Source organism: Homo sapiens, chromosome 6, assembly GCF_000001405.40.
Source record: "Homo sapiens chromosome 6, GRCh38.p14 Primary Assembly".
NCBI lineage: Eukaryota > Metazoa > Chordata > Mammalia > Primates > Hominidae > Homo > Homo sapiens.
Window position 1 is genome coordinate 155,638,139 of NC_000006.12, and position 14,515 is coordinate 155,652,653.

The window sequence follows — 14,515 nt, forward strand, 5'->3', positions numbered from 1 at the left end:
GTCTGGGAATATTAGTTTCTGACTGGCCAGATTTCTAGGGAAAATATTTTCCAAAGGAGGAAACTATATAGTATTTAAGTACATTTATAACAGCAACTTAACACTGTTATATGACCATCACTGAGATATATAGCTGAGGGGGTCTCTTGAAGTTCTAATTGAGGGAATACAGCAATACAAGAGCTAACCCTTATCTGATTATCTCCATATGAGTCAACATTTATAGGAAACCCTGGAGGAGTCACCTCTAGTCACCAAAACTCCCCAACATTGCTGCTTCATGCTTGACAACATTCTGACCTATGATGATTTATTTAAAGCAGGACTCTGACTTATTTAAAGAAGGACTCAGAAGAAGCCATCCAGAATTTGCTGGTATTAAACGATTTTATAAGTAATGACATGTTTTACCAAACCATACAATGATTAATTTCATAGAAAGGTATATACCAAAATATTAGGATGAAAACAATAAACGTAAATTCAGAGACAAAGTTTCACTCACTGTGAATTGGGAAACAATTCTCCATGGGCCTCTCATATCTCCTACGTCATGAGAGCAGAGGCCCTGACTGCTTTGGTTTTGAACTATCTTTTCAAGGATGTTTATATAGAAAACAGTCTCAGAAAATAGAGAATAGTGTCTCCATTCAGATCCAGGGAGGTTTGTTTATAACCTTGGATGGTAGAGAGAATATTTACCTTGAAATAAAAGGTGTGCATGCTTGTCTGTTTTAAAAGATTTGTGTTACCTAATCTCTGGGTGCTTCTTCTGTAATGCAACCTACAGTGTGCAGGCATCAGTTGGACCTCTCCACTTCACCCCGGGTTATTCAGTTTCTCCAGAGAGACAAAACCAATAGTACCCCACTGTGCGTGCACACACACACACACACACACACACTCACACGCACACACACAGACACACACGATTTATTAGGGGAATTGGCTCATGCAATTATGGATGCTGAGAAGTACAATTGGCCATCTGCAGGCTGGACACTCTGGGATGCTGGTAGTTTGACTCAGTTCAAGTCTGGAAGCCTCAAAACCAGGGAAGCTGATGGTGTAATTCTCAGTCTGAGGCCTAAGGCCTGAAAAACCAGGGGGTCACTGGTGTGTGCCCTGGAGTCCCAAGGACAGAAAGCCTAGAGTTCTCATGTCCAAAGGCAGAAAGAAGAGAGTGTCCTAGCTCCAGAAGAGAGAAAGAGTAAATTCTTTTCTGTCCTTTTTTTGTTCTATCTGGGCCTCCAACTGATTGGATGGTGCCTGCCAGATCTTCCCCACTCAGTCCACTGACTCACAGCCCAATCTCCTCTGAAACACACCCTCACGGACACACCCAGAAGTAATACCTTACCATTTCTCTAGGTATTCCTTAATCCAATTGACACCTAAAATTAATTGCCACATAGCAAAGGGGAATTAAGGCTTGGGGGACTGGTGCAGAGGCTGACATTCTGGCTACTACTTTTGCTGTGAGTAATAAAGTTCCATGATCCAGGGGTTTTTCAGCTTCTTTCAGCACCCATGCAACTGTGGCAGGGTAATTGTTAGCTTGAAAATAGGATACAATCCCAGACTCTTCGAAGTTTTTGATAATGTGCCTTCAGGAAGAGCAATTGTGGAGGCACACATTCTCATTTATAATTGAGAGTTCTTCCTCTTGGCTCCGTAGGTAAACAATGTACATCCTATTCACACTACCCAGAATTCTCTTTCTGAGACCTGGTGATCTAATAATAGATATCTGTTTATGTACTTCTATATATACACCCACATATGTGGGTGTATATATATATTTACCTGTATATATATTATTATGTGTACATATATAACATGGTATAGACCATGTATATATTCTTCATCATGACCATGTATATGTATACACATATAATTATATATATACACATATATAGGTAAATATAAGCACACACACACATACACACTTTTATATATATTTGTCTGTATAGAGGTGTATATATGTGTGTATATATAAACATGTACATTTATATGTGTGTACATATATTAATATATGTATATGTGTATATAGATTAATATATATGTGTGTATACAAAGATATATACATATTTTAAACTTCTAAAAAGTTCTTAAAACAGACTTTTAAACTTACAAGTAACAATACTGACAACTCTTAAATTTTCAGCTACGTTTCTTTCATGATTGAGTCAACATATAGAATATTGTATTTACCAAAAGGATAACCCTCTGTCTCTCCTAAAACAAAAAAGTTTTTTAGCTTTGCTTTTGATCAAGAATTCAACCCCAAATAAATTATAAAAATTTGTTAAAAAATAAAAACCAATATGAAAAATTTAGGGACTTCAATTTATTAGCAATTATTAGCAAAATTATTCTCTAAGCCCCATAGAAATGCAGTTTAGGAGGAAATGCAAATATGGCACACACTATATCCTTAATTACATCTGCAAAGTCCCTTTTGCCTTGTAAGATAACATTTACAAGTTGGGAGGATTAGGGCATGGATAACTTTCAGGTGTCATTATTTTGCCAACCACAGTCCCTCCCTTTGGCCCCCAAAGATTAATATTCATACAACATGCAAAATACATTCACTTCACCTAAAGGTCTCTAGAAGTCTCAACCCATTATAGCATCAACTTAAGTCCAAAATCTCATCTACAAATCATCAACTCAGAAGTTGCAAATCTCATTATCTAAATATTCTAAGTTCAGTCCAGGTGAGGTTCTGGGTACATTTCATTCTGAGGCACAATTTCTTTCAATATGAACCTGTGAAAAATTATCAGCTCCCAAAATACAATGATGGGACAGGTATAGGATAGCTGTTATAGACATCTAGGTGAAATGAAAGAAAAATGGAAGGAAAAAAGGAGTTATCAGTCTCAAACAATTTAGCAATGTACCTGGGAACACTGCATGAGGTTTCAAGGCTTGAGAATAATCTTCTGTGGTTCATGCCTCTGCTCTCTAAAATCATAACTCTGAACTCTGGGATCACAGCTCCACCCTCTGTGTTCTTGATTCTCCCCTTAGAGATATGTGTGCTGGTTAATTTCCTCATATTTGTATATTCCCAAATTTCCATTTGTTATTTCATTGCATTATGGTTGTATAACATGCATACAGATATTCCTCTGTTACTACCTTCTTTGTGTTACATAGATATTTTCTTGTGTTCCATTTTATTTTATTTTTGTTTCTCTTACTATATTATCTTTAATTACTTTCTTAGTTGTCACCCTGGGGTTCAAAATTAACCTCTTAATTTAAAGCAATCTATTTTGGAGTAACATGAGCTTTGTTTTAATAGTATATAGAAACTGTTTTGCTATATAGCTCCATTCCCTTTTTCCTCTGTTGTGCTCTTATTATCATACAAATTACATCTTTATACATTTGTATCCATCACCACAGTGTTCTTATTGTTTTATACAGTTTTAGTTGAGGTAGAAGAATTAGAAATGAAAATGCATTTTTTACTGACTTTACAGTTACCTATGTAAATGTACATTTACCTATTTTTATTTCTTTGTATGTATTCTAGTTACTGTCTAATGTTCTTTAATTTCAGGCTGAAAGATTCTGTTTAATGTTTCTTAAAGTGCAGGCCAGCTAGTAACTAATTCAGTTTTTCCCTATCTGGGAATGTATTTCCTTCTTAATTTTAGCTTTGCTGGGCATAGAATTCTTGGTTGACAGTCTAATAGTCTGGTATTTTATATCTGCTATTAAGTTTCCCTAGTGAACGTTTTCAGTAATTATTATAATTTTCAATTCCAGAATTTCTATTTAGTTATTTTTTATAATTTGTATTTCTTTCTTTTTCTTCCTTTTCCTTTTTTTTTTTTGAGATGGAGTCTCTGTCACCCAGGCTTGAGTGCAATGGCGTGATCTCAGCTCACTGCAACCTCTGCCTCCCGGGTTCAAGTGATTCTCCCACCTCAGCCTCCCGGGTAGCTAGAACTACAGGCGCATGCTACCACACCTGGCTAGTTTTTATATTTTTAGTAGAGACGGGGTTTCACTATGTTGGCCAGGCTGGTCTCAAACTCCTGACCTCGTGATCCACCTGCCTCAGCCTACCAAAGTGCTGGGATTACAGGCATGAGACACTGCACGCAGCCTAATTTGTATTTCTTTAATGATATTCTATATTTGGTAAGATAGAATTCTCACACCTTCTTTCCATTGTTCTTAGCACATGAATTAAAAAAAATTTAGCCATATTTTTATAGCTGTTTTAGACTTTGTTTAGTAAGTCCAAAATCTGAACTTCCTCAGGTACCTTTTTTATTAACTTCTCTTTTTTTTTGTTTATATGTATCATCCTTTCCCATTGTTTTTGCATATCTCATAAATTTTTGTTGAAAACTGAACATTTTAAGTAATAAAGCAAGTGTGGAAATCCAATTTCCCCACCTCCGCACCACATTCTGTGAGTTTTTTGTTTGTGTGTTTGTTTAGTGACTGTTTTTTGTTTCATGAATTTCCTGGACTGAATCTGTATTCTTTATCACTTGCATCCACTGATGCTTGGTGTGTTCAGTTAGCTTACTGGTCAGCTAATGAATGCAATCAATAAGTCTCCCAGGCTTTGCAGAGGAGTTCTCCTCTCTCTCTCTCTCTCTCTTTCTCCGTGTGTGTGTGTGTGTGTGTGTGTGTGTGTGTGTGTGTGTGTGTTGGGGCATGCCTTCAATGCTTTCACAGGCAACTCACAGGTCCGCCTTAGCTTTCACTTCCTGCTTGCACAGCCCTCATGGTCAGTCAGAGATGAGAGATAAGGACCTTCTCAGATCTTTCCTGAGTACGTAAACAGTCTTCCACATGCGCCTGGCCAGCCCTCTAAATTTCCAGATATGGGGCCTTTAAAAGCACTCTGTGGACGTTTCATTTCCCACTTTTTTACTTTATATGTTTTGGTCACCTTCTTGTTAGTTCCAACTGGAATTACTGCCTCAGGCACCTGTACTATTAAACAGTTACTGCTAATGGTTTTTTTTTTTTTTTTTTTTTTTTTTTTGGTGAGACGGAGTCTCTGTTGCCCAGGCTGGAGTGCAGTGGCGCGATCTCTGCTCACTGCAAGCTCCGCCTCCTGGGTTCACACCATTCTCCTGCCTCAGCCTCCTGAGTAGCTGGGACTACAGGCGCCCGTTACCACGCCCAGCTAATTTTTTGTATTTTTTAGTAGAGACGGGGTTTCACCATGTTAGCCAGGATGGTCTCGAGTTCCTGACCTCGTGATCTGCCTGCCTCGGCCTTCCAAAGTGCTGGGATTACAGGTGTGAGCCACCGCGCCTGGCCACTGCTAATTGTTTTCTACAAATGCTTGCACAGAGTGAGCTCTGAGTCAGGTCAAAAAAAAAGATAAACGCTAAGAATAAGGCTTTTCAGGGAGGTAGCAGACAGGTCAAATAGAGACAGTTCTCTGGGGATGAGGCTTTTGGAGAGCTTCAACCCCATTCTGCCCTATCCAGGGGCTGTTGGGCTGCTGGTTTTCATAATTTGGAAATAAACCAAATTAAAACACCACAGCACTTGCTGTTCTTACTGAGATTCAGTTGTTTTTCTGGAATAATGCTCTTAACATTGTTGCAAGGTGCTGGTTAATTTTCAGCATTCTGAAAAAGTCGACCATTTTTGCAAGTGTTGTTTTGCTTTAATGGAAGAATGAATTTTCAGAGGTTTTTACTCGCCATTCTGCCATTCTAGAAGTATATATATGTATTTTATTTTGCCTTACTAAGCTTTATTCATCATTTTGGACACAGGTTGGATGTCAATTCTACTAGGACATTTCTATGCTCTTAACATTTGTGTCTCTCCTAGATCTCCTAAAATGCCTTGTGGTTTACACACTGCATTTTAAATTACCTGTTTCTTATCTCTGTGCTCTAAACTCCTAGATGCAGCGATCACGTTCTGCTCACTCTTATCCCCAGTACCTAAGAAAATGCCTGGGACACTGGACACTACTAACTATTGTTGAATGAATGAATTCCTTTGACATATTTTTAAAATTTTCTAGCTTAAATAACCCATTAAATACCTAACAGATATAGTTTTGCTTGCCTCATTCAAAGTTTTAAGTCTTTGCGTTATTTGGGTCATATTTTATGTATTTATAGACTGAAGGTGTTCTTCACAACAAGATGGACATTTGCCTGTGTTTCCAGGTTTCATAAGCAATTCACTTGATTCTAAGAATTTTCAATTTTTTTTCTTTCTTCTATTCTCTCCTTATGTCCATCTTGACAAAAGAATTACCAAGATCAGACATAAAAAGATAAAGTAAACTAAAAATAGTCTTAGTAGTGTTTTTGGAATAGGAAATGGAAAATCATTCTCTTTTCCCTTGGTGATGAAGGGGTGGTGTTTATAGGCTGATTACATGAAGATGAGTTTCATGTTTTGTTTCTTTTTTAAAAAAATTCTAGCACCCACAGCAGGGTTCCTTCACCAGAAATCCTTGATTGAGGAGCTAAAGGCAATGAGAAATAAGTGTGGCTGCTAATTAGACACTTTGAGTGAGCAGAAGGGGAAAACGAGCCATATAGAACAGCAGGGACTGCCCATACTCTTGATATGTGACAACTCAAGATTTTAAACTGTAGAGGCAATAGTCATACTGTTCTCTCTGGACAGTTTTAATTTGGGAGTCTTGACAGGCCAATGAAAATACTGGATAAATCAAGTAAAAAAATAAATCATTAAGACAATACTCCATTCTTTTATTTTTGTGAAGGACTTATTTTTATTTTTTAAATTAAACTTTGTTTTTAATCAGTTTTATTGATACATAATAGATGCACATAATTTCAGGGTCATGTGATAATTTAATACAATCACATAATTTGTAAAAATCAAATCAGTGTAATTGGGATATCATCATCTTAAGTATCTGTCTCCTCTCTTCTAGCTGTTTTGAAATACACAATAGATTATTGTAAACTATGGTCCCCCTACTCTCTTTCAAACACTAGGTCTTATTTCTTCTATCAAACTGTGTATTTGTACCCATCAACACCCCATTCTTCAGCGAGCATTCCAAACAGTATTGTCAAAATACCTGGATGTTGAGTCTGATATGTCTAATGTGTTCTTCTATGTTATATATAACAAATTCATAAGAGTATGATATTGATATTTTAATTAACTGCTTTCTTTCTTTTTCATGCTTTTTTAAAATTACTGAAACAGTAGCTGACTATTAACAGCCTAAGAGCAAAATAACATTGTGATTCAGCCTAATACAGTTCCTTAGAATGCGGCCCTGTGACCCATCTGGTGATCTTTGTTCTGTATCACTCTGCTCAGCAAGCCTACATGTGGAACTGATGCACTTAAATTTCTCACATTTGTAACACTGCCTCAGCACGGGAAGATTAGTAATCAAGCCAAACACTAGAAGGTAAAACAACATGTATATTTTCTTCTGTGAGTCATCCATCCAGTAAATAACCCATACAACTAGAAGAGGAGCACACAGCAAATACAGTAAGCTTGAAACAAAGGTTTCAAATACAGGGTGTCAAACATTTCATACAATTCAAAGAACAGCCATTTATTCAGATTTTTTTAAACATGCCTGATGAACCCTCAGATGCTTTAACTGCTTCCTTTTTGTTTGTTTTTGATATATTGTCAAAAGGTCTAGCATATTAGTTACATTGGCAGAATTTTCAGATATAGTGACTGGTTTCTTTTTATTTGCCAACAAATTAACAATAATAATTAGAACTTAACTTTCTCTTATGTTGATATAATGTATCCTGATTTGTAGGATTTTACTATTAGGCAAATTTATATAATCATGTTAGGAAACTTAATTTCTAAATCATCCCTTTTTTCCCCTTAGCATTGATTGATGAGTTTTCAAGTAATGTATTTCAAGTAATAGGAACACACCTATTCTTGGTCTAGAAACGTCAATGTTCAGACTTGCCTTAGATTTTGTGCTGGATTCAGACATACTGCCTGAAAGCAAAACAAAACAAAAAAACCCTAAAAAATGCAAATCTAGTCGTAAAGCTTCCCACATCTTGGATATGAGGAAAACAAATTATCATTTCAAATAAATTTTTAGTTCAATTTTCAATCTAGTGGAACAATGTTCCTTTGTGTTCCAACAGTGGCTTGGCATGCATATTAGCTGAACAAGAATAACAGGAAAATACAGGGGAAAATTCTACTGGTTTTTAGTTCATGAGAACAAATGAAGAAAGCTCTGTCCCCACATATTCTATCTCAGCTGTCAAAGTTAGAGCCTGCGTGTTGACCCACTATTTGCAAAAGAAAGTAAGTTTTAGCTGAAACAATGCAATCCTCAAGATCACACCATAATTAGAGGCTTTCAATTTTATATTATCTATATCCTGTGTGAATGTGTCTGTCCACCAGAGTCTGCACTGCTATTCTGGCAGCACTGTCTGCTCAGTAGTCCTGAGTGCTGCACACATAGGACGTGGCGCTGCTGAATGGTAATCCGGAATTCACAAAATGCTGACGGAGGCAGTAAACTGATAGTCACTGACGTGACTTTCAAAAAACTGCTCTATGAAATCATGAAGTGGAACCATGGAGGCTAATTAAACTCTTCTCAAACTTTCTGGTTGAGATATTGATTCCAATCAGAAGTTAGCTATACTTCCTATTAAAAGGTGATTCAGAAACTGAAGACATTTCCCTTCAGTTCTGTTCTTCAAGATAAAGAAGCTGAAAATGCCTTCTAAATAGTGACGCATCACCCATAAAGATGGCCCTTAAACTTGAGATCAGGACAAAACATATCTAACTCAAAGTCATCATTCAGACGCCACCTCTTCCATTAACTATGTGGTAGTCTATAATTAAAACAACACTTAAACCAACACAAAACTTTCCAAAAAGAGAACTTATCATCTAGAATTTAATTCACTTTCTGTAAGATGGATTCCCATCTTCACAGCATGTTATCTATTTCATAAAAACTGGGGCATGTATATTCCCTTCATTAACATGTTTAAGAATTAAAATGACGTTTTAGTGTTTTATTTATTATTATCTTTAAAAGTTGCAAGCATTAATATTGTATTACATAGTTTCTACTTTTAGTCACGGATTTATTAAATAAAAGGCTTATACAAGTAAATTACTCAGTTTTTATAACCATCAATTTATGTGACTAAATCTTCTGATCTTATAAACAGGCTATGGGCATTGTAACTCTTTAACAATTGATTTTTTTTTCAATATTGAAATGAGATTGTGAAACATTGACAGTTAGATGAGTCTCTAGAATTTCAAAACAAGGATATGGATTCTTAAAGCCTAAAAGAATTTACACAACTCCCTCAGTAACTTAATTTAAAAGCAGGACATAAAACTCAGGAGGAGAAAAAGAATTCAATGTGTGGAAAGGAAAAGTGAGATAAGATGAAAGGATCATCCAAGGCAAACAACTTCAGACAAAGAATGTTTCATTTCAAAGCTATGAAATCTCAGCCATGAGGGAGAATTGTTGAAGGAGGAAATAAACATTAAACAGAATGAGAAAGGCTATAGAACTGAAGGGGCCCTAGAAACATTGGTGGGTGGGGCATAATGGGGAGAAACACATTTCCTGCCCAGTAGTCAGATTTCCTGTTGCATCTTTCCCTTCCCACTGGTCTTCCTTTCTCCACCTGCATGCTCTCTCCCTCTCTCCCTCTCCCACCTCCTCTTCTCTCTCTCTCTCCCTTTCTTTCTTCCCTTTACCTGGCATGGCTTTGCTTAGTGGAAATTGGAGTGCCAAATATGTACTAAGTCTGTAACAGAACGAAAACTGGACTTGAAATAAGAAGAATGGTGTTTAGTTCCAGCTCTGCAGCTTACAAGCTATGTGACCTTAGATAGGTCCCTCAACCTCTGTGAGTTTCAGTTTTCCCTGCTGCTGTGTCTACTGTTCAGGAATGTTGTGAAGCACAACAAAATGATACATGTTAGAGTGTTTCATTAACCATAAATGAGAATTATCCAAATGCAGCTATAACTATTTCTATTTCATGTTTGAATGTTGCCTTATAATTGCTTTGATAGTTTTCATATTCCTCCTATAAGAATATAAAAATTTCTTGGGGTGATCACTGTCCCTTATTCTCTTAGTGGTTTGTGCAGAGTAGAAGCAACGATTTTTTAAATTGAAATAACCATATGAAATAATAATACAATGATTTCAGGTCACATAAGCCCTTGTGTTATCAAATTGTAAGGTCAGGGAGAGAGGCCAAAGTATTCCAAAAGGCAGCCCCTGGAGCCCCAGCCACAGGAGTGGCTCATATTCCCGGATTCATCCTCCCTTAGGATTCCGGTCTACACGTTCAGCCAATTTTAGCTTCCTCGTTTCTCTTAGAACGTCCCACATTGCCCTAAAGTGCTGACTTTCCTGGTATGTCCATAACTGGGTTCTCTTCTAGCAGATTATACCTTTCTAAAATTAGACAATACTAGGCATACAATAGTATTGTTTTCTGTTCCTTTTTTAAGTTCCTAACTTGTTATAGTCTGCTTATGCCATTTTAAAGAGGAAACATGCCACTATTTTTGCTGTTCCTGACTTCTTTGGAAATACATTCATTTTTATTTTATTCAGTGAAAGAAAATATATACTCTTCATTTCTTGTTACTAATTAACTGAATTATTATATGCTTGCAGGCATTTTGCTGTGCAGAATTAGGATGTCTAGGAACAGTTTCAAAGACAAAGAAAATAGAGAGAGCTAAAAAATCCTGTGCTGCTTTTGACCTGGGTTACCATAACAGAACGAATATATGCTGCTGAGGCTTAAAACACCTCAGCTTTCAACACTCATAAAATTCCAATATCACAGGGTGCTGCAACTTGCATGCATGGAGCAGTCAAGGGGTTAAGCAAGCTTTCTATTTTATGGGCCTTTAAATCCTAAGTGATGTTCTGTGTTGCACATTACGAGGGCAGCCATGAAAGGGCATATATAACATTTTTTTTTTTATTCTTCACACCACCTGAGTAAGATTTTGAAAGCTGGGTAACATCCCAGGAGCAAGAAAAGCATAAAAGCATTCACCAGACACAGAAGGTAGACTAGATGCATTAAGATTAGTCACCACTTAAAAGAATATATGTGCATGCGCACACACATGTACATGTGCACACAAAAAGGAAACAATTTCAGAAAGGGTTCAGCTTTGCTTTTATAAGAAAAATATGTGAGCTCTAAAACACTTAAAAGAGGTTTTTTATATCAGGGTTTCTGTATAACTTGGGAATGCTATCAGATATGAAAATATCTATTTAAGTTATATTTCTAAAGATATGGTGGAATCATTGTTTCTTGGTTCATATAAATTTTTGAACCAAGAATTCAAATATTCTTGGCTGTATATGAGTCATCCTTATGGTTTTGCTTTAAAATAAAGTTTTACATTTCAAACCTTGCTAAATGCTAAATTCCTTGAGATAAAATATTTCCTGAGCTTTCTGGATGTACATTTTATAACTGATTTTTTGTAATTCATATTAGTGTATAATTACTGAAGCAATAATCTATAAAAATATATTCACATTATGCATTTGAAAGCATTCGCTTTAGGGATTGAGCAATTATAATAGGATACAGGTGTAGGGGGATGAAATTTATACAAATATCTGTGTATAATTCAAAGCATCTCCTTTTTTGTTTTGTAAAAGCAAATCAACAATGGAGTGTGCCAAAATGCTTAACGTATAACAATAGCCAAAATCCATCATCTTTTAAATGTAAGATAGTATACACACACATTAGAAATACGCATGTCCAACTTTTCTTCATAATTAGAAACAATTTTAACTTGGACCTATAGCTAATGAAAAAAATTGTGGTGTTGGTTGTTCTGTATTAGATATAACTAAAACACACTATTTTAATTAAGTGGTTCAAGTTATCTTCCTTTATTGGGCAGGGAAGCTGCAGAATAATATTGCTTCAGACTCAAATTTGTGAAAATTGAGTACAAAAATAATCAGGCTGTGAAATAAGAATCATAATAGTGCAGAGCTTTTAAGACTGTAATTAAGTATAAAATAATTATTGCAAATTACTTAGCATAGTACTTAGTATAAAACATGTACTTTATAAATTTAGCTATTTTTATTATTAGTTATTATTGATTTACCTATTAGTGAAATGAGGATAATATCTATCTCTCAGTGGTTTCAGTAGGATTAGTGATATATATCATACGCTTCTCCTGCATCTATTTAAATTATTACATGGTTTTTTCACCTTTAATCTGTTAATATGGTGTATTACATTAATAGATTTGCAAATTTTAGCCCTTCTTTCATGGTATAAATTCAGTTTAGGTTATGTTCCATTATTCTTTAATATACCGGTAGATTCAATTTGATTATATTTTGTTTAGAGTCTTTGCATCTGTATGAATGAAACTAGACTTTAGTTTTTCTTTCTTATCTTGTTTGTTTGTTTTGGTGTCATAGTATTTAATAAAATATATTGGGAAGTTTTTCATTTTTCTATTATATGGAACAGATTATTTAAAAAAGGAATGAGTTGTTTTTTGATTATATATTAGAATTTTAACTATTCAACTTCATTATATAACTTTTTAGACTTTTAAATTTCCTGTTGAGAGTTTTGCTAAATTATGTTTTTCTAGGAATTTGCCAAGTTTTCATTAATTTTTAAAAGTATTGGCATGAATCTGTAAAAAAAGGTGGACATAATAAAATGCGCACCTCAGGGTATTTTATGTCATGAGGATTAAATGAAGTGATAAATATATAAAGGACTTAGAACAAGCCTAAGGCTTATCAAACATTCAATAAATGTTACGTATTATTATCAATACTATTGCCTTTTAAATCTCTGCTCTATTTGTAGTTATATTCTATTCTTCATTCCTAATATTAATGTGTCCCATCTTTCCTTGTTTGAGCTTATTGCAGCTTTCTTGATTTTTATCAGTCTTTTCAAAAAACCACTTTTATTTTGGAATTGTTGATTTCTTCTACTACATTTTCTTTTCTTTTTCTAGTTCATTAATTTTTGCTTTTATTTTTTAAAGGTTTTCATTTATACTTCTTTGCTTCTCTCATCCCTGATGTTTCTATCTTCTTATATAATATGCTTAGCTCATTAAATTTTAGCTTTTGTCTTTTCTAAATATATGTTTTTGAGGATACATGTTTCCCTTTAAGAACTTCATTAGTTACAGCCAACCATATTTTTTCCATTGTATTAAGGATAAAAACACGTGGTAAAGTGAATAAAATGCACTGATCTTAAGCAAACAGTTCAAACAATATATATATATTTATATATATACACACACATACACACTATATATATACACACACACAAAAAGAATATATGTATACGCGCACACACACACACACACACACACACACACACACACACACAAGCTTTATTCATGATAGAAAAATAATTCTGGAAAGAACCAAATGTCCACTAAGATAATGGATAAAGTATAGTATACTGATACCAGTAAAAAAGATGATTCTTTTACACACACAATAAGGATAAATATCACAAATATTGTTTGGGGCTAAAAAGACAGATACAAGAGACTATATACTGTATGATAATATTAAAAAGTAAAGAAAAAGCAAGAACTAATCTATGGTGATAGAAGTCACTATAAGGGTTCTCTCAGAGTAGAATGTTATTGACTGGGTTTGGATATGGAGGAGATTTCTGGGTGCTTGAAATGTTTCATACCTTGATCTGGGTACATTCAGGTGTTTATATATAGACAGAGTCTGCTTCATATATACTTCGATCCGGGTACATTCAGCTGTTTATATATAGACAGAGTCTCCTCATATATGATAATATAGTATATAGTCTTTTGTATCTGTCTTTTTAGCCCCAAACAATGTTTGTCATATTTATCCTTATTGTGTGTGTAAGAGATTCATTCTTTTTTACTGGTATTGGTATACCACAATATACCATATTTTATCCATTCTAATGTTAGTGGATATTTGGTTCTTTCCAGGATTATTTGTCTATCATGAATAAAGCTGGTTATAAATTCTTGTACATGTCATTTAATGGACAAATTCATCCCACAAACTTTGCTATATAGTATTTTGATTGTAATTCAGATTTCAGTGTTTTTAAATGCGCATTCAAATGTGTTTTAAATGTGTGTAATTCAGATTTCAGTGTTTTTAAATGTGCATTCGAATTTTTTAAACACATGAGTTGTTTGTATGTGTGTATATACATGTATATATTTGTATATTTATACAATATACATATTTACATTTACAAACATATTTTGTTGCTGTTTTTAGTTATCTGCTTTGTTGTTCATTTCAAATCTAATTGCATCATGAACAGAAAACATGATTTGAATAATATGAATTTCTTAAAATCTGTGGAGACTTACTTTATGATCAATTGCTGTAAATGGCTAAAGTATGCCTGAAAAGAATGTGTATTCTCCATTTGTTTAAGTATATTGTTTGTCATATATCCTTTACATCGTT

The 14,515-nt window shown here is 34.7% G+C and overlaps 1 annotated feature.

Moving 5' to 3' along the window:
- Nucleotides 4,892-5,098: a silencer, noted in NCBI's record as "fragment chr6:155964164-155964370 (GRCh37/hg19 assembly coordinates)". NCBI's record gives its function as "represses an EF-1alpha promoter that drives an FKBP-Casp9 reporter gene in an ReSE screen in K562 erythroleukemia cells {active_cell/tissue: K562}" and the evidence as "EXISTENCE:reporter gene assay evidence [ECO:0000049][PMID:32094911]".